This window comes from Homo sapiens, chromosome 6, assembly GCF_000001405.40.
Source record: "Homo sapiens chromosome 6, GRCh38.p14 Primary Assembly".
NCBI classification, from domain to species: domain Eukaryota; kingdom Metazoa; phylum Chordata; class Mammalia; order Primates; family Hominidae; genus Homo; species Homo sapiens.
This window is the reverse complement of record NC_000006.12, coordinates 142,769,200-142,793,407: the sequence shown is the minus strand read 5'-3', so window position 1 is coordinate 142,793,407 and position 24,208 is coordinate 142,769,200. Positions and strand designations below refer to the sequence as shown.

Below are 24,208 nucleotides of genomic sequence, written 5' to 3'. Positions count from 1 at the left end.
TCACTGAAAAGAATCACCTCAGTCACTAATGATGCTAAAAAGTAAATATTCAAGTCATCAGTAAATATTCCCTAAATTTCTATACAATGAAGCACAGCATGAGTATCACAATTTTCTACTCTAGGTAGTTATGTAGAATTATGAGAGATATATACAGTTTTTAAAAAATATAACAGTCTTAAATCTACTGTTCATACATAATAGCTTATAGTTAATCATCTTAAGAGTTTTATTTTAGAATAAAAGATAAACTTTTGGATATATTATTAAATTATTTGGATATGGTTATTGACTCAGAAAAAAGTTTGGAAAATACTCTTTTTAAATGGCCTAATAAGAAGTAGTGTTTTTCCTAAGACTGCTGCAAGTACTAATACTTAAGGCAAATTGACTGTTCCCCACTCATCAAGCCCCTCTAGCACAGCTAGTTCCCTGCTCCCATCAGCAGACCTCACCTTCTACTTTTCTGAGATATTAAGAAGGGACTCCTCAGTTTCTTTTCTATCTGAAAAGTTATCTTGCTTCATTATATCTTCCTTCCCTCCATTCTAAAACAGAAAAATTTTCATGCTTTCTTCTGACAGATTCCTTATTTATGCTTTTGAGTTCCTTTTTGGTTCCCACTTTCTTTTATTCATTCTTTAATGAAATATTCATTTATTTATTTATTAGTTTTATTTTATTTTATTTTAAATTCTGGGATACATGTGCAGAATGTTCAGGTTTGTTACATAGGTATGCATGTGCCATGGTTGTTTGCTGCGCCTATCAACCTGCCATCTAGGTTTTAAGCCCCGCATGCTTAGGTATTTGTCCTAATGCTCTCCCTCCCCTTGTCCTCCACCACCCGACAGGCCCCGGTGTGTGATGTTCCCCTTCCTGTGTCCGTGTGTTCTCATTGTTCAGCTCCCACTTATGAGTGAGAACATGCCGTGTTTTTCTGTTCCCCTGTTAGTTTGCTGAGAATGATGGCTTCCAGCTTCATCCATGTCCTTGCAAAGGACATGAACTCATTCTTTTTTATGGCTGCATAGTATCCCACTTTTTAAAGAGTTTATTCCATTATCTTATTACTTGTATCTTTTCCTCCTTTGCTCCAAGTCTCCTTGCCTTAAAACAAACTTCTTCTTAATCTTTATTCTTTTTCAGGCTATACATTTGCAGAGTTTGCCCGAAAGGGATGGAAAGAAATGGGATATAATAGCTTTCTAAAGTGTCTCTGTGACTGTGGCAGTTGTCTTCTCAGAACCACTGATGTCTCTCTGTGTCTGCCAACTAAAGTTCTTTACCTTCTGCCACCACCATCACCTCAGTGTGCCTAATGTTCTAGGCAGACAGACTGTTTCTCCAATACCCCTTCTCTTGTCTATGTCACGATAATAACCTCACATTAAATGCATCTCTGCCTGCAAATCTGAGCCTTCTTTCAAAATCTAAGATAGAGTTCCTTAAATGCAGCATTTCTAAGCAATCTCCTGTCTTCATATACTCACAACACCATTTCATGCCTCTATTGCTTTTATAGCTCGTTGTTCATATGTTTTCCTTACTCATTAGACAGTAAGCTCTTTGAAAGCAGAATGTTCTCTCATTTGTCTTGATCCTACACATGCACACTATTTTTAATTCTTACTTGGTGTCATTGAAATTGATTTAAATTTATATGTATTTGGGGATTTTTTGGTAAATGAGGCAGTAATATCTGGATTCAAACTCAAAGAAATATGAAGTTTGCATTTTAGTAATGTTTTATTTCATCACATTAGTATATATGAGCTTTGGAAAAAATGTAATTTGACTGAATGAATGAGCCTGCAGATGGAATTCTGGAATTGCCTGACAGAATTTGCCCAATAGGATCTTATAAATGCCTGCTTGAAACTTGAATTTTTTTAGCCTTAAACTTTGTAGGCAATGATATATTCTGAGATGAGACCAAAAGTATGAATGCCATTCACAGTTTGTCAAAATGTCAAGGAGGTACCTGAATAACCATGTAGCACAGGTTAATAATAAATCTTTATCTAGTTAATTCATTTGTGCAAATCATGGCTTCCACTTGAGCCCCTTCCCTCTGTCTAGTCTTTCCTGGTTGTTCAAGCCATTTTTGATCATATGGTTCCTAATCTCTGAGAACAACTGATGTTCAGGTTATTTGCTGTGTGCTAACCTCATGTCAATTTCTGAAGTCTTGAGAGATAGTATCCACTTACCCTATGTACCTTATAGAACCTGGGACAGTGTGAGTCCAGATTTGTTCTTTGGTTTCCTGAGGTTGTATATCTCTACACAGGCACACAGACCAATTTCCCCACTCTCTAGGAAAATTGTCAAGAGAGGAAATAGAATTGATTCTTTCAGCAGCTCAGTTATTAGAAGTAGATAGGGTCTGTCTGATTAGGTTATATGATATGTCATAGGCTTTGCCTTGATTTCTTTTTGAGAGATTTTTATTGTGTGTAGACCTACGAGAGACTGAAGACAATTTTATTTTTCATCACATCTGAGAATTGTTTGTAGCATGAAATGTGGGATGCAATTCATATTTTCAGCTGTGCTTTCATTGCTTTGGGTATTATTTCCACTGATGCAGGAGGATCTTCCCTCAAAGATGGATTTTCTTCAGGCAAGGTCAGCCTGTTATATGAATACTTATGAATATAATGCATATTTTATGATTTGATTTCTCTGTTCTCTTTGTTTACTTAATTCAAAGTTAACTGCGGCCTTTCTTTATGCTAGTCTTGGCATACCCAGGAGTAAAAAGAAAATTGGAGAATCATGACCTTATTTATGTATATCTGCAGCAACCGAATAGTAAACATAAGCATTGTAAAAGATAAAACTTGAGAAAACAGTACATTGGAGTTATGACTTTGTTGTGTCATATATACTTCTCACTAGAGTATGGTAGTCAAATACACCTTTTTTGCTTTTATCCCTGTCTCTCCAAATATTTAGTTAAAGAGTAAATGTTTAAGCTGGCTTGGCTAGAAGTAGTTATTTACCTACCATATTAAGGGATAAGATAGAGGAAATGGAAGGGAAGGAAAAAAATAAAAATGGGAAAATGTATCACAAAAGAGAGAGCAAAAAAAGATTTTTAATTATACAAAACATCTACTTGGCTCTGCCCTTTTGCAAAACCAATGCAGCAGAAGAAGTAGTGCCTGTGGAGTTGGTGTTACCATGTCTTCACAGGTCTCCTAGGTGAAATTTTGGTATTATGAACAAGGGGCTTGCCTCCATTGACTTTCAATGAAAGAGCTATCTTTGCTTTTAGGAAGATGGTCTCATAACTCTACTTAAAATATTTACTGAAAAATTTTCGTTATAAGAGCATAAAAATCTTAGAAAATAGCTTATACTGAAAATTGGTTGTAAATTAAGTAATTATTTTTGCTTTGGATACTAAATAATGCACTGCTTATGGAAATTGATTATCTTCTAATTTTTCTGTCATTTACTCATTTTGGAAAAATTAAAATTTTTGTTGCATTTATTTTTATTTAGTATAAAAATTGATAAACATTTCAGTGGAGCATTGATCCTTAACTACTGTTATTTTCTGTTTCTTTGATTATGGATTATAAATATCTTTGCTCATTTGAATTTCAAAATTATTAATTCTTCATTTTTTACTTCTTTACTCATTCAATCAATTTCTGAAATAGGGTTAGATAAATAAACTTTGAATAAGAGGAAGTAGTGTGGATAATGGAAAATAATTGACTTGACAGTTTAAAGACCTAAGCTGTAGACCAGAACTATCATAATGAGCTGTGGGTCCCTAAGCAAGTCTTTTGACTTCTCTGGTTCTCACCTTTTTCATTTGTTAGTTGCCTGATAGATTAAATTCAATGGTTTCTAAATTATTCCATAGCCCTAAACACTGCCTATATGATTTAGAATAAGCTAAACATTTAAATAGTAATAGAAGTTTGTAGTCATATATTTGCTCCTAAAATCAAGTTAGTCAGATATATGACTTACGTGATGTCAAATTGGGTCAAGAAAACAAACCTAGGTTATAGCTCTTATCTTAGAAAACATGACGTGTGTTTTAAGGACACATGTTGGGAGAAGTTTGCATGGCCAATACCAGATGAGCACAGCCAAGATGCAGAATGACTGGAGAACACTATATGATCCTGAACCATCAAAGGAAGATTAAATTATGGTTAGTAGACTGTAATTAACTCAAGGCAAAAGCTAGTGTACTTTTGAAAATAAATTACCACCAGATGTTTAACAAAAAATGATTTTCTCTGTGGTCTTTACCTAACCATAAGATTGTATTAACTAGAACACCTTATTCCCCAAGCATCCTCATGAACCAACATTCCATCACACAAAATAAAGTATATATAATCATAGAGAAACCGGAATGGTAGAGTCTTGTATTTTTATTTCATCTGACAAATGTATTTGTCTCTAAATCTAACATTGATAACTGTGCATTTCTGTATATTAGCATATATAGTTTTATTTAAATATTAAGTTCAGTGTCGTTACATCTAGAAAGCCTTTTCTAACTTTCCAGAAAGGAGTGACCATTCCCTCTTGTAATCTCCTTTGTAATCTGTTTATATTTATGTCATTTGTTGAACTAATTCACAAATATCTCCCCGCTGAAGCTCTGAGCTCTTCGTTTGTTTGTTTGTTTTGTTTGTTTGTTTGTTGTTGTTGTTTTTCGAGATGGAGTCTTGCTCTGTTACCCAGACTGGAGTGCAGTGGTGTGATCTTGGCTCACTGCAACCTCTGCTTCCCGGGTTCAAGAGATTTTCCTGCCTCAGCCTCCTGAGTAGTTGGGATTACAGGTTCCAGCCACCACACCCGGCTAATTTTTGTATTTTTAGTAGAAACAGGGTTTCACCATGTTGGCTAGGCTGGTCTTGAAGTCGTGACCTCAAGTGAGCTGCCCGCCTGGGCCTCCCAAAGTGCTGGGATTACAGGTGTGAGCCACCATACCCAGCCAGCTCTGTGCTCTTAAATGCAATGCTTGTCTTTTCTTTTTCTGTATTGTGTAAATACAGCCCATTTCTGGCATATCGTAGGCATTCAGTAAATGTCTTTTTTTTGAGGGGGGGATTTTTTTTTATTATACTTTAAGTTTTAGGGTACATGTGCACAATGTGCAGGTTTGTTACATATGTATACATGTGCCATATTGGTGTGCTGCACCCATTAACTCGTCATTTAACATTAGGTATAAGTAAATGTCTTAAAGTATCATAGAATAATCAGAAATCCTATTTAAAGAGGCCTAAGTTACAATCTCTAATGCACATGTATCTGCTTTTTTTGTTTGTTTTCACTAGTTTTAATTTACACAATGCTTTGTTTCCTATCTTTTCTGTGCTCCTGCACTACCTGCTGAGAATCAGCAATAGACCATATGTAGCTTTGGTGTCATTTTTATGGGCAGTTTCTGGCTAATTTGGACTCAGTTTGCCCCAGCCTCCTATTATGAAAACTCTGTGGGAATCCTTCCTTCCATGCACCTTCTTGACTTTTCAAAACCTTCTACATTGTTGTCCCAGTAATGAATTGCCCCATGTTCCAAAACTACTATGTTTCTCTTTTCCTAGTCATGTCCCTTTAATATGTTTTCTTTTTTACATTTCAACCCCAACCTCATCCATTACCTTTATATCAAAAATATTTCTGAAGATCTAAGCTTATAGTCATCATCCTGTCAATGTATGTGTGTGTGTGTATGTGTGTTGTCTATCCTGTACCTGCCTTCTCTAGTCCTTCGCAGCCTCTTCTTCCTTTGCCACTTTACGCACTCCAGAGTGGAACAATGGGCCCATTTAGAGTCTTTTTTTTTTTTTTTTTGTAGAGAGGAAAAGATGCCTCTACAAAAAGCTTGTGAAATTGATGGATTATATCTTGAACATTGATATCTCTTTCAGTGCTCTTCTCCCATCTTTAGTCACTACTTTTGAATCTTTTCTATTCCCTACTATAAGAGTAAAGTGTCTCTTCTCTAGTGAAGAGTAGTGTTCATTCTTTTAAACATGTAATACTTAAACACTCTTTTTACTGAGAAATAAAACTATCATATCTTGTTTCCAGTTTCTATTTGCCATTTTTCCATTGAGTTTATAAGAATTATTTTCATTGATGTTGTTTTTATTTATTTATTTATTTATTTTTGAGACGGGGTCTCACTCTATCCCCCAGACTGGTGCAATTATAGCTCACTGCAGCGCCAAACTCCTGGGTTCAAATGATCTTCTTACCTCAGCCTCCCAAGCAGCTGGGACTACAGATGTGCACCACCACACCTGCTTAAATTTTTTTTTATAGAGATAGGGTCTTGCTTTGTTGCCCAGACTGGTCTCAACCTCCTGGTCTTAAGCAATCCTCCCAAAGTGCTGGGATTACAGGTGTGAGCCACTACATCCAGCCAATAATTATTGTTTTTAATTATGACAATGCTCATCTAAAGTGTAACTGGTTTACCTTATCAGCTCTTCTCCTAAAATTGTGATATAGTGTGTATTTATTTAACCTCAGAAAAAACAAGGGTGATGGGAGGTACTTGAGAGTTCTGCCAATGAAACCTTCACCTCTTGCTAGATTCATGTAAGAGTCATATTAAAGCATTAACTGTAACTTGTTTTGAAACAATTTGGAAAAGTAGAGAATGGAAAAAGACAACCCCACTAACAATGGGTATTTTTAAAATGTCTATCTTATCTGTCATCTATGAATCAGTAGCTTGACTCTTGCTTAGCTTAATAGTAATAACCTATAAGCATCCAACAACAAGTAACTAATGCCAAGGATTTTTTTTCTTCTAAGAATGGGAAGGCTGAGAAACCACTGGGATAGAAACAGTAATACTCAAATCTTCCAAGTGTTTATTACAAATAGGAGATGGAGGATTGGAAAATATTTTCAAGGGTCTCTTCCATTAACCTGCAGGTTGACAGAAAAACCATCTTGTATGTGGTGAAGTGAAATATAATTTTTACCTCATATTTAGGAAGGAATTTTAAATGACCTTTGGATTTTTATCAAGATTCATTAGCACTATTTCTGAAAACTTGTTTGTTTTATTAAATATTAAGGTTTCATTGCCTGTTAAGTTCTTATGAAGCTAATAACCTAAAAGCAAAGTTAAAGAAATAATCATCTTTCCTCCTTTAGTCCATTTCTTTAATAGCATACTATGTAAACTGTTGATTTCTTGAGAATAAGAGCATGAGTTGTCATAGTACATTCTCAAGAGCTGTTTGATGAAAGGATTTTCTTTTATTTTGATGGAGAAATAAAGACACAAAAACTCACTTAAAATTAATGCAAAAAATAAATTTCTGAGATGGCATCTCCATATCTCCATTTCAATAAGAACAATAACCAAGTCCCATGTAGAGGCCATTACTGATTTCAATTTATAACAAAATGATTTGTGCAAAAACGCTGCAATTGATATCATATCTTTCATGCTAATATTATTTGCATCTTTGCTTTAAAATCATGCTCATCTGGAACTTTCTTTAAGGTAAGGATAAGTATAACATGATTACCATTGCTTTTCTCTTCTTCAAGAGAAACCCAAACATTTAAAAGGTCATGAGTGATGCAACAGAACCAGTTTTTGAATCCTCTTACCGGGTAAAAAGGGGGCTCTTCTGTAATCTACAATTTCAAATACATGTGCATGTCATGAAAGGAGTGTTTACCATTTCCAGTAGCCATCATCTTAGAAAGTAAGACTGGAAAAACGGAGTCAGAACTGGGAATGCTGTCCCATCAGAGCTTGTTGGGGGGCACTCACGTGCTCTGTTTTGCCTGTGGAGACTGCTGGTAGGAATGATGATTTCTGGAAGGGAAGGGAGGTTGGTGCTGGCCTACTGAAAATTAAGCTCTTCTTTTACCTTCTTGCCTCTTAATTTGGTGACTGTGAGATTACCAGTCACAGGTAGTCACTGACTACTGCAAGTTAAGGTTCCGTATAAATATCTGCATCTTTAGAACCTTGGCCCATTTATGTCTTGGATGCATTTTGCTTGGAGTACAAAATAACTCAGTGATTTCTTCTTCTTCTTTTTTTTTTTTTTTTTTTTTTTTTTTTTTTTTTTTTGAGGAATGCCATGCTTTACTTTAGCCTAGATTATAGTTTTTGTGGGTTTTTTTTGAAGTGCTTTTATTTGATTTTTTAAAACAGATGTGATATTTAGTGTGTTAAAAATATAGATATAGTTGGCCGGGCACGGTGGCTCACGCCTGTAATCCCGGCACTTTGGGAGGCCAAGGCAGGTGGATCACGAGGTCAGGAGATCGAGACCATCCTGGCTAACATGGTGAAACCCCCATCTCTACTAAAAATGCAAAAAAATTAGCTGGGCGTGGTGGTGGGTGCCTGTAGTCCCAGCTACTTGGGAGGCTGAGGCAGGAGAATGGCGTGAACCCGGGAGGCAGAGCTTGCAGTGAGCCGAGATCGCGCCACTGCACTCCAGCCTGGGTGACTGAGCAAGACTCCGTCTCAAAAAAAATAGATAGATAGATAGAGATATAGTTAATTATCTTATAGAAAATGTATATTTTTTAGGATATCATCTCTATTCCTTCTATGTTAATGAATCATGCTCTTTAGCATTGATGAAAGTTTCAATTTTGAGAATAGTAGACCTTGTCAGGTGTCACTTTGAGTGCCAGCAAACGGTTGATTTGAGGCAAGAAGAATAAAGTTTAAAAAAGAAAATAAATCTAGCATTTGCTTAATAATTTGCCCTTTGCAGCACCAGAATCTTATGTGACCACCCACATTCATCTGGTTACTGACGTGGTTCTTGCTTCAATTGCAGAAGCTATTTTTGCACCTTTTGTGTCTTTTGAGGAACCGAGTGGGCCTACTTGCTTATAATGATTCATGTCTCAAGTGCACAGGGTGTCCTGAAGTGCTACTGCAGTGGTGTGCAGAAAGGAGGGGGAAACTGAAGCAAACTACTTCCTTTAAGCACTTTGAATGTTCACATGAAGTGGTACTGCAGGAAAGCACACTTTAACTGTTATGTTTTAATGCTTTAGTTATTCTTATGGGAGTTTTGTAATAACTTGTCAGGACAAAAGGGCGATTTTTTTAAAAAAATAACAAATATACGATTATGGGTATTATAATATTATTTTTAAGTAGGTCTTTTATACTGGGAGATAAACTCTGTTAAGATTGTTGATTAATCTATTCAGATTAGGTAGTTTGATCTTCCATGCATTTCTTTGGATCATACTTGAATAAATATTAATTCCATATATGAAAAGTTCCTTTCTTCATTACTTACTAGACTTTTAAAGTCTGAATTTTGCTTTGGTTGGGTTTGGATTCCTATTTCAGAATTTAATTTTAGCACAAAGTATAACATTGCTGAAATAAACTATAGAAACAAATTTACAACAAGGTTATCTGAGACTTCATCCTGCGAGGTTTAGTTGCTAATACACCCAAAGAAGTTCTGTAGAAATCTCAGCTTTGTGGCAGAACCGTATCATGGACTACAATGACACAATTTCTAGTGCTGGTACTTGAAGTTTTAACTCTAGCATTTCACTGTTACAGGGAATTCCCTTTAATTACAAGTATTTATTCAAAAGATTTAAACTATGTTAAAAGAAAGGAAATTCTTTCCTGGGGGCAAAAAAAAAAAGCTTCTTGAGAGATCCAGTTCCAAATTTTCTTTCCTAAAGGAAGGCAGGTTCTGTGAGTGAAGAAGAATGAGCGTGCTTATTAAATTCATTACAGATGTCATCATCTTTTAAATCTTCTTATTCATCTTTTAGATTCCCAGAAGTTGTGCATGAGTTCCTGTGAGGAGAGTTGGCATCTTGGAAATCAAAGACGGTTGTGATGCAGTTTTTTGATATGAGGATAACAGGTTAATAACTAAAATTTATTTATTCTTACTCTCTTGTTACATTAAACTTGAAAAGCTGTTTTGGCCTACTATGGACTCATATATAAACTGGAGGGAGGAAACAATATATTTTCCATCTAGAGAGAAAAGTGTTGTTTTGTTGTATTTTGTTTTTCATAGTAGACTAGTCTTTTTTTTTTTTTTTTTTTTTTTTTGTGACGGAGTCTTGCTCTGTCGCTAGGCTGGAGTGCAGTGGCACAATCTTGGCTCACTGCAACCTCTGCCTCCCGAGTTCAAGTGATTCTTCTGCCTCAGCCTCCCAAGTAGCTGGGACTACAGGCACCTGCCACCATGCCCGGCTAATTTTTGTATTTTTAGTAGAGACAGGGTTTCACCATGTTGGCCAGGATGGTCTCGATCTCTTGACCTCGGCCTCCCAAAGTGCTGGGATTACAGGCGTGAGCCACTGCACCCAGCCCACCAATCTTAATTATAATTAATTATCATTGTTATAATTAAAATAGCATTATTCGACAGAATTTATTTCTGACAAAGTTTATTTTCATGTTAGACTCTACTTAGTGAATCCTAATAACTTTTGCTGTATAATGAGAAAACATCTCAGTAGAAAAGTGAAATCACAATTTAAAAAATTATTTTAAAAGGTATGACAAAATATTAAAAGCAGCATGCTGTAGCCAAAATAAGTCATAAATATCTTGACTAAATAGGCAAACTCTACAAATATATGCAATGATGCCTGCATTGCAGCCCATGTGAAAAAATATGTTTGTTTCTCATTAGGCTTTAAATATCAAATTAGATTTTAATTACATCAAATTAGAGGATGATCATCACAGTATTTTTACTTTTCTCCAAAAGTTTTCTGAATTGCTTGGCAGGATTGTATATAATAGAGTTTTCTCCATATAGACAACTTGCTCATTTTGGAGAGAACTGAGGTTGTTATGGGAATTTTTACTAAAAGAAGCCTTTATAATGAATTTGGCTCTCAGGAAGCCACCTTTTTAAAAATCATCCTGTGGAAATAAGTCTTTATTCAGCTGGACTCTGGCACTCATCACGCCTTCTTTCTTGGTAGTTCCTTTTTCCCCTCATCCCATACTCTCTGAGCATATATGCTCTGAGCGGTGGTTGGGCAATGAGTGTCTAAGTGACTCGTGGGATCAATGTTACAACTACAATGCCCCGAGATGTTCATGTATTTTTTAAAGATTTTACAACTGATCTGTGGCACTTTAATAACAAATACAATGATGTCCCTTCTAAAATGTCATTCACTAATTATTACCATAAGACACGTATTTTGTTTACAAGTGTCAAACCACAAATCCTCAACAAAAGACGAAATGTTTAGAAGTGTCATACCACCAAATCCTCAAGAAAAGACCAAGTGACCATTTACATTTTTAAAAATGTTTTATTATTAAAATGTTGGAAGTGGAGAAGCCGTGTTTGCTGCCAGTCATTGTATACCGTCATTATTTAGGATGTCATTATTTAATGCTCACTTGACTTTTGCCACCACTCAAGTAATGATTAATTTCCTGAGGTAAGGTTTTTTTCTGAGATAATGTTTTCCTAAGCAAAAGATCCCAGATTGACAACCCTGGGTACTGTAGGTCTTTATTCCTCTGCAGAGTAAGCCTGTCTTCCTGCCAATCCCACCCAGCCGTTATCCTGAAGAGACCTCTGAGGAGGTCCATCTAGGAGGCTGTTTATGTGTCTTTCCTTTGGGACCCTGTCTGGGGAAATTATTTAACTGGGTGCCAAACTTATTTGAGTGGGACTCTGAAGAGTGGCCAAAGGAGAGGGCACACTTCTAGAAGAATGCCTGCTCTTCCCTGTAATATCATTTTCTTTCGCTTCAGTTCCTTTAGTTCCATTACCACTGAAATAGCCATGCAGAGGTAATCTCTTTTTTAACATGATCCCCCTCTGAAAAGTGTGATGAGCCTGCCAGACAATGTCTGTCTTTACTGACTAGAGGACTCCTGTGGGCTGTAGCAGCATCCACAGGAAACCCAAAGTCATATCCCCTGAGTTTTATTCTCCAGTAAATTATCTTACTCCTTTCATAGCACTTAAAACCCACTAGAGAAAATTTTAACTGTGAATGCAAAACTGTATTTGGAATTCCGCTCCTTTGTTGGCAGTGGGTGCCAAAAATGACTTTGTGTGGGTTTGGTTACCATAAAAGGAAATCTCAGTGAATAAAGTGACGACTCGCTGTTTTCATATGAGAATTACTCTCATACTGCATTTTTTGATATATCAATTGATTAGGAAACCTGGTATATATTTTAATGAAATATTAGAGAATCTGAAAAATGAATTGACTCTACACAGTCATAGAGAAATACTGTAGCTATAATTAACCATATTACTATAGATCTTTATAGTTCTAAGTGGATCTCTGTTGCAGAAATTAAACTAAAATTGCAGGTAGATACAATGGTACATTTAATGACTTGTAATAATGTTATGAAGTCCAAAGAAAGTATTTTCCTGACTTAATGATTCATTTAATGTAGATTTCCTTATCTAACATACTTTTAAAAATGTTTTGTTATCTATAAGCATTTTTATACATTTTAGTAATAAAATGTAAGCTCAAGAATTTATGCCATTTGGAAGAGTTAAGTTGCTTAGTAAAAGTGTCACCTAACAAAACAAGACAAATGCCATTATCTAATCTTGAAAACCCTATTGTTTTTAAAGTGAATTTATTTTCCTCAGTATAACATGAGTGGAGTAGCAGAGAAACTTTCAAACCCTCCCAAATCCTGCTTGTTTTTAAAGAGAAAGTCATGCCATGTTCAGTAATAGATTATGATGCACACAATTTCCATTGCAGAATCTTTTCAGTTTCCAGGATAAAGCAGCTGTAGAAAAGTGACAAATACAAATAGTCCATATTTTTAATGGTTCATAAATATGATCAATAAATTCTAAAAGAAGCCATCGCTCACTTTCTCTCCCACCTACCTTTCTTTATATGTCTCAGAAACTCCAAGAAGAGACGTGATTTTATGGATAGCAGTTAGTCAAAGGCTCCCCAAGGATAGTGTTGGAGAGAAAAAGACATCCTCAAACATGTTTCAAATCAAATGTGAAAGTTCATGTGAAATAAGCATGATTTCTAGTTCCCTAATAAGCCTTTCACTGAAGTGAAAAACTAGACATTGTGGATCAGAGGAGGGGTCCCTGTAGTGCTGGGACCTCCAGCTTAGGCACAAAGATGGAAGCTCTTCCCGCACAACCCAGGAGAGAAAGCATGGCGTGGGATATCACCTAGCTTCCTGGTAAAATGGTGGGGCATCTCGGGTAGGCTTGTCTTAGAAATTTAAAAGGAAGAGATTTTCTTGACAGAAGCTATTTGCATAATTGAGTTAATGTTTTGAATCTTAAAAACTTTCTGGATAATAAATGCTGTTGGAATATAGAAAGATCCTATGTTAAACTTAGCAAAATTATTTTTTAAAATAAAGTGATAGATAAGACTTTTTTTCTGATTATCCTCCTTCTCCTAAAAATTAAACAATTAACTTAATGGTCTAGACATGTTTTGTTCTGACCATGAGGTATCTGGTTTTGAATTTTGTGTAAGTCACTTTTTTTCAACTTCTGGTGTATTCTCTGGTAGCAAAATATTATTTCTGAATTTTATTTGATGCATTTACTATATGATATGCCCTTAGTGTATAAGAATGGTTTTATTATTTTATACCATAAAAATTAAATGTCTGATTTATAAAGGTATTACCTCATTGCTAAGTGAAAACATTATATTTTATTGAATAACTTATGAAATAAATTATTCCAACCCTGTTTTTTATAAAATTGTATGTACTTATTACTTGAAGTTTATGCTGTTTTTTGTTTTGTTTGTTTGTTTGTTTTGAGATAGTCTCACTCTTTTCCCCAGGCTGGAGTGCAGTGCTGCAATCATAGCTCACTGCAGCCTCGACCTGCTGGGCTCAGGTGATTCTCCCACCTCAGCCTCCTGAGCAGCTGAGACTACAGGTACACGCCACCATACCCAGCTAATTTTTGTATTTTTTGTAGAGACGGTGTTTTGCCATGTTGCCTGGGCTGGTCTCGAACTCCTAAGCTCAAGCGATCCACCTGCCTCCACCTCTCAAAGTGCTAGGATTACAGGCATGAGCCACCATGCCCAGCCCCTGAAGTTTATGTTTTGAGCAAAATTATATATTCTGTGTCAACCAAAAGATAGAAAATGATACATACCTGATTTTCACTTGTAAGGTTCTTATTTTCCTTAAAACTAATGATTTCCAAGCTGGGCACAGTGGCTTAGGAGCTACTTGGGAAGCAGGGCCCAGAGGATCCCTTGAGCCCATGAGTTTGAGTCCAGCCTGGACAAGAAAGTGAGACCCCCCTCCTCTAAAAATAAAAGTAATGATTTTCAAAGAACAAAAGAAAACAGTCTGGCATGAGACTTTATTATGGTCTTACAAGAAGCTGTTCTCATTAATACTTAATATACATATTTTGAACATTATTTAAATTATGGATTTTTTTATTTCTAGGAAATGGCATTTTGGGGCCATTTTTTGTACTACAAACATGCAGAGCTCATTTATATTCTCTCAGAACCATTAAAAGTTGAGACATTTCATATATTAAAGTTAAGTGGAAATATTTAGATGAAGATATTATTGAAGATGTATTATTTTAAGTTGTAATAAAACTTAATGGAGAGTAGTGGTGAGTCCTCCCAGACTTAGAAGTCACCAAATTTAGATCTGAATTTTGATTCTGAAACCCAACCTCTCTAAGAATCATTCTCAACTGTAAAATAGGTGTAATAATACCCTTAGCATAGAGGTATAATGAAGATAAAATAAGACAATGTATATGAAACTCTTTAACAGTATGTATCAGCCCATGGTAAATATATAGTAAATGACAGTCATTATCATTGTTATAATTAACAATGAAACTGCATACATAGATCAATACCATGATAAAATATTAAATCTGAAAAATAACTTAGAAATTATTCACTTCAAGCTCTGAGTCCTAATTGAGGATTCATACATGCTTGTCTTGAATTGAAAATGTAGTATATTTCCATTTTAGAGGGTATTTATTTACCTCTACAAGTCTGGCAGAGGTTGTGTCTACATGAACCTTAAATATTTAGTTAATTAAACACAGTCAGCCAATTTAGATTCAACATTGTGTCTTCTTCTTGTTAGCATGGTTCCTGGAATTGACACAAGGAAATTTGCATTGGAATATTATGAGACTATCATTTGTGTTTCGTTTTTGCCTCATTTCCTGCAGAGGGATGCTAAAGAAAATTATTGCACAGCAAAAAATTAAATCCAATAGCAAAACTTTTTAGCAAACTGAGATTAATATCTTTGTTTAGTATTTTGACTGCTGCTTTACAAATCTCTTAGGCTTCATGGCCATTAACAGAAGGAATCTTTGAGTACAGATGTCTTACTACAAATATCTGGGGGCTACTGATTTCTCACCCAAAAGACTTACCGTTCCTGTGGGAATTTCCGGGTGCTTTTCCCCTCTCAAAGTGCAACTTCTGTCATCATCATCATCACAGTCAAATTCGATGTTAGGGAGAAAATTGCCCATGGAAGTAAGACTACTATTTGAGTTTCGCTTTAGGAATCTGCAGTACATCTGCATGGTAGCATTTTAAAAAATTATTAACTAGTGTTTTATTTAAAAAGATAAACATGCTCATGTTAAGAAAAATAAACAAAAATTAAACTTACTGAAAGTCATGAGATGGAAGGTAAAAATCCTTTCTTTCCTCTTCCTCTGAATCCCAGGTTCCACTTTTTTTTTTTTTTTTTTTTTTTTTTTTTTTTTTTTTTTTGAGATGGAGTTTTGCTCTTGTTGCCCAGGCTGGAATGCAATGGCTCGATCTTGGCTCACTGCAACCTCTGCCTCCCGGGTCCAAACAATTCTCCTGCCTCAGCCTCCCAAGTAGCTGGGATTACAGGCATGCACCACCACGCCTGGCTAATTTTTTATATTTTTAGTAGAAACAGGGTTTCTCTATGTTGGTCAGGCTGGTGCCAATGCTGCCTGGCATCCTCACAGGAATTTTCTGTTGATCAACTGTTCCTCTTTTTCACCCATAGGATTAACAATGTGTCTTCGTACTAGGGTGCAATAAGCTTTTCTTGCATTTAATGTTACTATCCCCTGAACAAGTTTCTATATTGGTACTTATAGCTGTACTTTATTTATTTTAAATGCCTCAGTTTTATCATTGAGCCATAATTTATTTAAGCGGTTCTTGTACATATATATTGGTGTGCGCTTGTGCAAGTACACCTGTAAGGATATATTTCCAGCAGTGGAATTTCTAGGTCAATGTGTATGATCTTTTTTATTTTGATAAACGGACACATTGCCTATCAAGGAAACATCTGAGGTTCTATGACAGTGGATACAGTTTATCATTGAAGTTCTCAGAATCCTCTGGGTACCTCATTGAACACTCCCCTAAGGAAGTTGAGTATTCACTTAAAATTGAACGATTACTTAGTTGTCAAGTCTTCCTGAGCCATACGCCATCATCTAGAGGACTCCTTCACTTTGCTATGATGTAAATTTCCTAAAAGGGAAATTTATTCTTTTAAACATAAACATTCAAACCTATCAGAAAAAAAAACCCACTATTTTCATCCAGGCGAGGTGGCTCACACCTATAATCCTAACGCTTTGGGAGGCCAAGATGGGCAGATTGCTTGAGCCCAGGAGTTTGAGACCAGCCTGGGCAATATGGCAAGAGCTCATCTCTACAACAAAATACAAAAATTAGATGGATGTAGTGGTGCATGCCTTTAGTCCCAGTTACTTGGGAGCCTGAGGTGGGAGGATCGCCTGAGCTCAGGGAGGTCGAGGCTGCAGTGAGCAGTGATTGCACCACTGTACTCCAGCCTGGGCACCAGAGTGAGACTCTATCTCAAAAAAAACAAAACAAAAAACGCCTGTATCTCAACTTTTAATATCTAGGGAATTAGAACTAGGCTGATTACATTTAAGTAACTAAGATGTTTCATATATAATAATCTTATGTCTTAGAAAATATTACTATGATGTTTTTATAATATTTTCTCTGAGTTATTTTTGAGTCACAGTGTCAGTGTAAGGTTTACTCTTCTGGTGTAATGCTTTCTGAAGCAGTTTCTTGCTTTCGTTTTAGGGTACATAGCATTGTGAACCCTTTATATAATGAACTGGAAATTGGAATTTGTATTTGTATATATCGATGGTAAGGTTTAATGGAACAATTTTCCCTAACTGCATTTATTTTGTATCCAGGAAGCGTCAGGACAATCATGCCCATAAGAACTCTAAACTGTTCAGGTAATCATTTCGTTTTTAAACTGTCCTAGAAATATGCTTTGTTTTCTATATTAAGAAGACTTTATAATTGTTTTGTTTAGATGCACCCTTTTATCTTTTCCAAAGTTCTGTGACATCTAATTCTTATAGCCTTGATGTCATTTTATTAATCACTGATTTTAAGCTGTAAAATATAGTTATACTTTATAGTAATATATAATACTTTATGAATTATGTATTTTATAAAACATGTATCATATATGTATGCTTATATGTATACTATGTTATATTTATATTTTATATTAATATGTAACTATATATATGGTTTTTTTTTGAGATGGAGTCTCGCTCTGTCGCCAGGCTGCAGTGCAGTGACATGATGTCAGCTCACTGCAACCTCTGCCTCCCGGGTTCAAGCAATTCCCCTCCCTTAGCCTCCCGAGTAGCTGGGACTACAGGTGCATGCCACCACACCCAGCTAATTTTTGTATTTTTAGTAGAGACGGGGTTTCACCATTTTGGCCAGGATGGTTTCAGTCTCTTGACCTCGTGATCCACCTGCCTCAGCCTCCCCAAATGCTGGGTTTACAGGCGTGAGCCACCATGCCTGGCCACATATTGTTTGTATTAAGCTATAAAACATATCTCTATATAGAGATATGTAATACACTTTGGCATACAAGTCATAAAACTTGGTTAGGAATAGCTCTATTTTTTTTTAATGGGGCTTTCTAAAACCTTATACTTTTGTAGATAATATCCATCAAGGATTTTCCTTCAAATGGTTTTCTAAAGTTAAAAAGTATTTAAAAGAGTGACCAAAATTCAAACATGGAAGAGACTTATGTTCATGACTTAATGCTGAGTTTGAAATTAATATATTTTAATTGTGGAATTAATGTAATCTCAATAAAAATAATTCCTTGGAGTAAAAAACATTTCAAATTTATCTAATTTCTGGTTGGTTAGTTAGGTTTTTTTTTTTTTTGGTTTCTTATTTGAAACTGTTATGACAATCTCTTTGTATTTTCTTTTTCTTCAGATCATTTTATCTTAGTGAAACTGGCAATTGAACTTTGCTCTAGTTGATGGGCAAAATTTCTCCTAGACTATTCATCATCCCAATTTCATCCTAGTTGAAAATTTTCAAATGCCATAAGAAATCTTTATAGATTTGCACTTAGCTTTTGGATGGACGTTTCTACAATGGAGAGAACTGTGTTATAGCCCTGGTCCAAGGACATTACTAGCTAATGCCCATCGACTGTGGTGTGCGTGTGGAAGGTTCCAAAGAGAAGGAGCAATCAGCAAGTTTGCAGACACCCTGGAACATGGAAGCAACCAAGCTTTAAGAAGCACAGCTTTGGAGACACTCCATGAGTCTGCACTGCTTTCAGGGGAACTAGCACTTAAGACCTTGTGTAACAAAATGGACACTGGGGACACAGCTCTAGGACAAAAAGCTACCTCAAGGTCTGGAGAAACTGATAAAGCATCAGGTAGATGGAGACAGGAACAATCAGCTGTTATTAAGATGAGCACTTTTGGCAGTCATGAAGGACAGCGGCAACCACAAATAGAGCCTGAGCAAATCGGAAACACAGCATCAGCACAACTGTTTGGTTCTGGGAAACTGGCCTCCCCTAGTGAAGTGGTGCAGCAAGTCGCAGAGAAGCAATATCCACCGCATCGTCCGAGTCCTTACTCATGCCAACACTCACTCTCTTTCCCTCAGCACTCATTGCCACAGGGGGTCATGCACAGCACCAAGCCACATCAGAGCCTCGAAGGTCCTCCGTGGCTTTTCCCTGGCCCTTTGCCATCCGTTGCCTCTGAGGACTTATTTCCTTTTCCTATACATGGCCACAGTGGTGGTTATCCTAGAAAAAAGATTTCAAGTCTGAACCCTGCTTATAGCCAATACTCCCAGAAAAGTATTGAACAGGCAGAAGAGGCTCACAAGAAAGAGCACAAACCCAAAAAGCCTGGCAAGTACATTTGCCCTTACTGCAGCAGAGCGTGTGCCAAACCTAGTGTACTGAAAAAACACATCAGGTCCCATACTGGGGAGCGGCCATATCCATGTATACCTTGTGGTTTCTCTTTCAAGACAAAGAGCAATTTGTACAAGCACAGGAAGTCACATGCCCATGCAATTAAGGCAGGATTAGTACCTTTCACAGAGTCAGCTGTATCTAAATTGGACCTAGAGGCTGGTTTTATTGATGTAGAAGCAGAAATACATTCAGATGGTGAACAGAGTACAGACACAGATGAGGAGAGTTCTTTATTTGCCGAGGCTTCTGACAAAATGAGTCCTGGTCCACCCATCCCACTGGACATTGCCAGCAGAGGCGGCTATCATGGGTCATTGGAAGAATCATTGGGAGGTCCAATGAAGGTGCCGATTTTGATTATCCCTAAAAGTGGGATTCCTCTCCCTAATGAAAGCTCTCAGTATATTGGCCCTGATATGCTACCAAATCCATCTTTAAATACTAAGGCTGATGATTCGCACACAGTCAAACAGAAACTTGCACTAAGACTGTCAGAGAAAAAAGGACAAGATTCTGAGCCATCGCTCAACCTTCTGAGCCCGCACAGTAAAGGAAGCACTGATTCTGGTTACTTTTCTCGCTCAGAAAGTGCTGAGCAGCAAATAAGCCCTCCCAACACAAATGCAAAGTCTTATGAAGAAATCATCTTTGGAAAATACTGTCGGCTTAGTCCGAGAAATGCACTCAGTGTTACAACCACAAGTCAGGAGCGTGCCGCAATGGGTAGGAAGGGCATAATGGAACCATTACCTCACGTTAACACCAGGTTAGATGTCAAGATGTTTGAAGATCCTGTTTCACAGCTGATCCCAAGCAAGGGAGATGTCGACCCCAGTCAAACGAGCATGCTGAAATCCACTAAGTTCAACAGTGAGTCCAGACAACCCCAGATTATTCCATCATCTATCAGGAACGAAGGAAAACTTTATCCAGCAAACTTCCAAGGCAGCAACCCGGTTCTCTTAGAAGCTCCTGTAGACTCTTCACCCCTTATTAGAAGCAACTCAGTGCCAACTTCTTCAGCAACTAATCTAACTATTCCTCCTTCTTTGAGAGGAAGTCACTCATTTGATGAAAGGATGACTGGTTCCGACGATGTATTCTATCCAGGGACCGTGGGCATACCCCCTCAGCGCATGCTAAGAAGACAAGCGGCATTTGAGCTGCCTTCGGTACAGGAGGGCCACGTGGAAGTCGAGCACCATGGCAGGATGTTGAAGGGTATCAGCAGTTCATCCCTGAAGGAAAAGAAATTGTCTCCTGGGGACAGGGTTGGGTATGACTATGATGTCTGTCGGAAACCCTATAAGAAGTGGGAGGACTCTGAAACACCAAAGCAAAACTACAGGGACATTTCCTGCTTGAGTTCTTTAAAGCATGGTGGAGAATATTTCATGGATCCCGTGGTGCCATTGCAGGGAGTACCAAGCATGTTTGGAACTACCTGTGAAAACAGGAAACGCCGGAAAGAGAAGAGCGTAGGGGATGAAGAGGACACGCCCATGATCTGCAGCAGCATTGTAAGCACTCCTGTGGGCATCATGGCTTCCGATTATGACCCCAAACTGCAGATGCAGGAAGGAGTCAGGAGTGGATTTGCCATGGCTGGACACGAAAACCTTTCTCATGGTCACACGGAACGCTTTGACCCATGTCGGCCCCAACTGCAGCCTGGAAGTCCATCTCTTGTGTCAGAGGAGTCACCTTCAGCCATTGATTCAGACAAGATGTCAGACCTAGGGGGCAGGAAACCTCCTGGAAATGTGATTTCTGTGATTCAGCACACCAACTCACTGAGCCGACCCAATTCATTTGAAAGGTCTGAGTCAGCCGAACTTGTGGCTTGCACACAGGATAAAGCCCCTTCCCCTTCAGAGACTTGTGACAGTGAGATTTCAGAAGCCCCAGTGAGTCCTGAGTGGGCTCCACCTGGGGATGGTGCAGAAAGTGGGGGGAAACCCTCTCCATCTCAGCAGGTGCAGCAGCAGTCCTATCACACACAGCCCAGGCTAGTTCGGCAACACAACATCCAGGTTCCTGAGATTCGAGTGACCGAGGAGCCTGATAAACCTGAGAAGGAGAAGGAAGCCCAGAGCAAAGAGCCAGAGAAGCCTGTGGAAGAATTTCAGTGGCCCCAGAGAAGTGAGACCCTTTCCCAGCTCCCCGCGGAGAAGTTGCCACCCAAAAAGAAGCGTCTGCGACTTGCAGATATGGAGCACTCCTCAGGGGAGTCCAGCTTTGAATCCACAGGCACAGGCCTCTCCCGCAGCCCCAGCCAAGAAAGCAACTTGTCCCACAGCTCCAGTTTCTCCATGTCTTTTGAAAGAGAAGAAACCAGTAAGCTTTCTGCACTTCCTAAGCAGGATGAGTTTGGGAAGCATTCAGAGTTTCTGACTGTCCCTGCTGGTTCATACTCATTGTCTGTCCCAGGCCATCACCACCAGAAAGAGATGCGACGCTGCTCATCAGAGCAGATGCCTTGTCCTCACCCAGCGGAAGTCCCAGAAGTTCGGAGCAAATCATTTGATTATGGGAATCTGTCCCATGCTCCTGTGTCGGGAGCAGCAGCCTCCACGGTATCACCGTCCAGGGAGAGGAAGAAATGCTTTCTGGTGCGGCAAGCTTCCTTCAGTGGCTCCCCAGAAATCTCCCAGGGCGAGGTTGGCATGGATCAGAGCGTGAAGCAAGAGCAGCTGGAGCACCTGCATGCTGGCCTCCGGTCCGGGTGGCACCATGGCCCGCCTGCTGTGCTGCCTCCTCTTCAGCAAGAGGACCCAGGGAAGCAGGTGGCGGGTCCTTGTCCCCCGCTGAGCTCGGGGCCACTGCACCTGGCCCAGCCACAGATCATGCACATGGACAGTCAGGAATCTTTGAGAAATCCCTTGATCCAACCAACATCCTATATGACAAGCAAGCACTTACCTGAACAGCCACACTTATTTCCACATCAAGAGACAATTCCATTTTCTCCAATCCAGAATGCCTTGTTTCAGTTTCAGTATCCTACAGTTTGTATGGTTCATTTACCAGCTCAGCAGCCTCCCTGGTGGCAGGCACATTTCCCACATCCCTTTGCTCAGCACCCTCAGAAGAGCTATGGCAAGCCCTCTTTTCAGACAGAAATCCATTCGAGCTATCCCTTAGAGCATGTGGCAGAGCACACTGGAAAGAAACCTGCTGAGTATGCACACACGAAAGAGCAGACCTACCCATGTTATTCAGGAGCATCAGGGCTACACCCAAAGAACCTTCTTCCAAAGTTTCCATCAGACCAGAGCAGTAAGTCAACTGAAACGCCCTCTGAGCAGGTTCTTCAAGAAGATTTTGCCTCGGCAAATGCTGGGTCTTTGCAGTCCCTCCCAGGAACAGTGGTTCCTGTTCGGATCCAGACGCACGTACCATCCTATGGAAGTGTCATGTACACAAGCATTTCTCAGATACTTGGGCAGAATAGCCCTGCCATTGTCATATGCAAAGTCGATGAGAATATGACCCAAAGGACACTGGTCACCAACGCAGCCATGCAAGGGATAGGATTCAACATTGCCCAGGTGCTGGGGCAGCATGCGGGCTTGGAGAAGTACCCCATTTGGAAAGCACCTCAGACTTTGCCCCTCGGCTTAGAATCCTCCATCCCCTTGTGTTTACCTTCCACCTCTGACAGCGTGGCCACCCTGGGAGGTAGCAAGCGAATGCTTTCTCCAGCCAGTAGCTTGGAGCTCTTCATGGAAACCAAGCAGCAGAAAAGGGTCAAAGAAGAAAAGATGTACGGACAGATTGTGGAGGAGCTTAGTGCTGTGGAGCTGACCAACTCAGACATCAAAAAGGACCTCTCCCGCCCCCAGAAACCCCAGCTGGTTCGACAAGGATGTGCTTCTGAGCCAAAAGATGGCTTGCAGTCAGGGTCATCTTCCTTCTCCTCGCTGTCGCCCTCCTCATCTCAAGACTATCCTTCTGTTAGCCCGTCTTCCAGGGAGCCATTCCTGCCCAGCAAGGAGATGCTTTCCGGTTCCCGGGCACCACTTCCGGGGCAGAAGTCCAGTGGGCCTTCTGAAAGCAAAGAATCTTCAGATGAATTAGATATCGATGAGACGGCATCGGACATGAGCATGAGCCCACAGAGTTCTTCATTACCAGCAGGAGATGGTCAGCTGGAAGAGGAAGGGAAGGGCCACAAGCGGCCTGTTGGCATGCTGGTCCGCATGGCCTCTGCCCCCAGCGGGAACGTGGCAGACTCAACTCTTCTTCTCACGGACATGGCAGATTTCCAGCAGATTCTTCAGTTCCCCAGTCTGCGGACAACAACTACTGTGAGTTGGTGCTTCTTGAATTATACAAAACCCAATTATGTGCAACAGGCCACCTTCAAATCCTCGGTTTATGCTTCATGGTGCATTAGTTCCTGTAATCCAAACCCATCAGGATTGAACACCAAGACCACGCTGGCTCTTCTGAGGTCCAAGCAAAAAATCACTGCAGAAATTTATACTCTGGCTGCTATGCATAGGCCTGGAACCGGCAAGCTTACATCATCAAGTGCTTGGAAGCAGTTTACTCAGGTAACAAATACTGTTTTAGGAAGAACTTTGTATTGTGGATTTGATTGCTGAGCAGACTACATAGTGAAGGATATAAGGCCTAAAAAAAAAATACAAGTAAAATGAAGGTCAGTGTGGGGGCGTTTTCAGAAAGTCTGGCCTTACTCAGGAGTGGAAGAAGCCACTGACTGCACTTGGTTCTGAGGTCTCAGGCATGGTCCATTTTCAGAAGAAAAAGCCTACATTTATGCTTTTAAAATTTAAAAATTTGGGTGCCATGAAATCCTACCACTGGGATTAATTCCCATGGGTTATTTTCCTTCTGACCTTTGTGAGTGACCTAGCAGGTCTAATTTTCTCTGGATGTGAGGAA

The 24,208-nt window shown here is 38.8% G+C and overlaps 1 protein-coding gene across 14 annotated transcripts in view; it reads left to right on the top strand.

The window, feature by feature from the left end:
- HIVEP2 (HIVEP zinc finger 2) overlaps positions 1–24,208 on the top strand; it is a 194,265-nt gene that overhangs the window by 152,326 nt on the left and 17,731 nt on the right. For all 14 annotated transcript variants that reach the window (NM_001438449.1, NM_001438450.1, NM_006734.4 and 11 more), the window contains 3 exons: positions 9,793–9,887; positions 17,217–17,261; positions 18,283–23,856. In NM_001438449.1, the coding sequence (NP_001425378.1) occupies positions 18,670–23,856 (5,187 nt within the window). In that variant the 5' untranslated portion in view covers positions 9,793–9,887; positions 17,217–17,261; positions 18,283–18,669. The remainder of the gene's footprint in view (positions 1–9,792; positions 9,888–17,216; positions 17,262–18,282; positions 23,857–24,208) is intronic.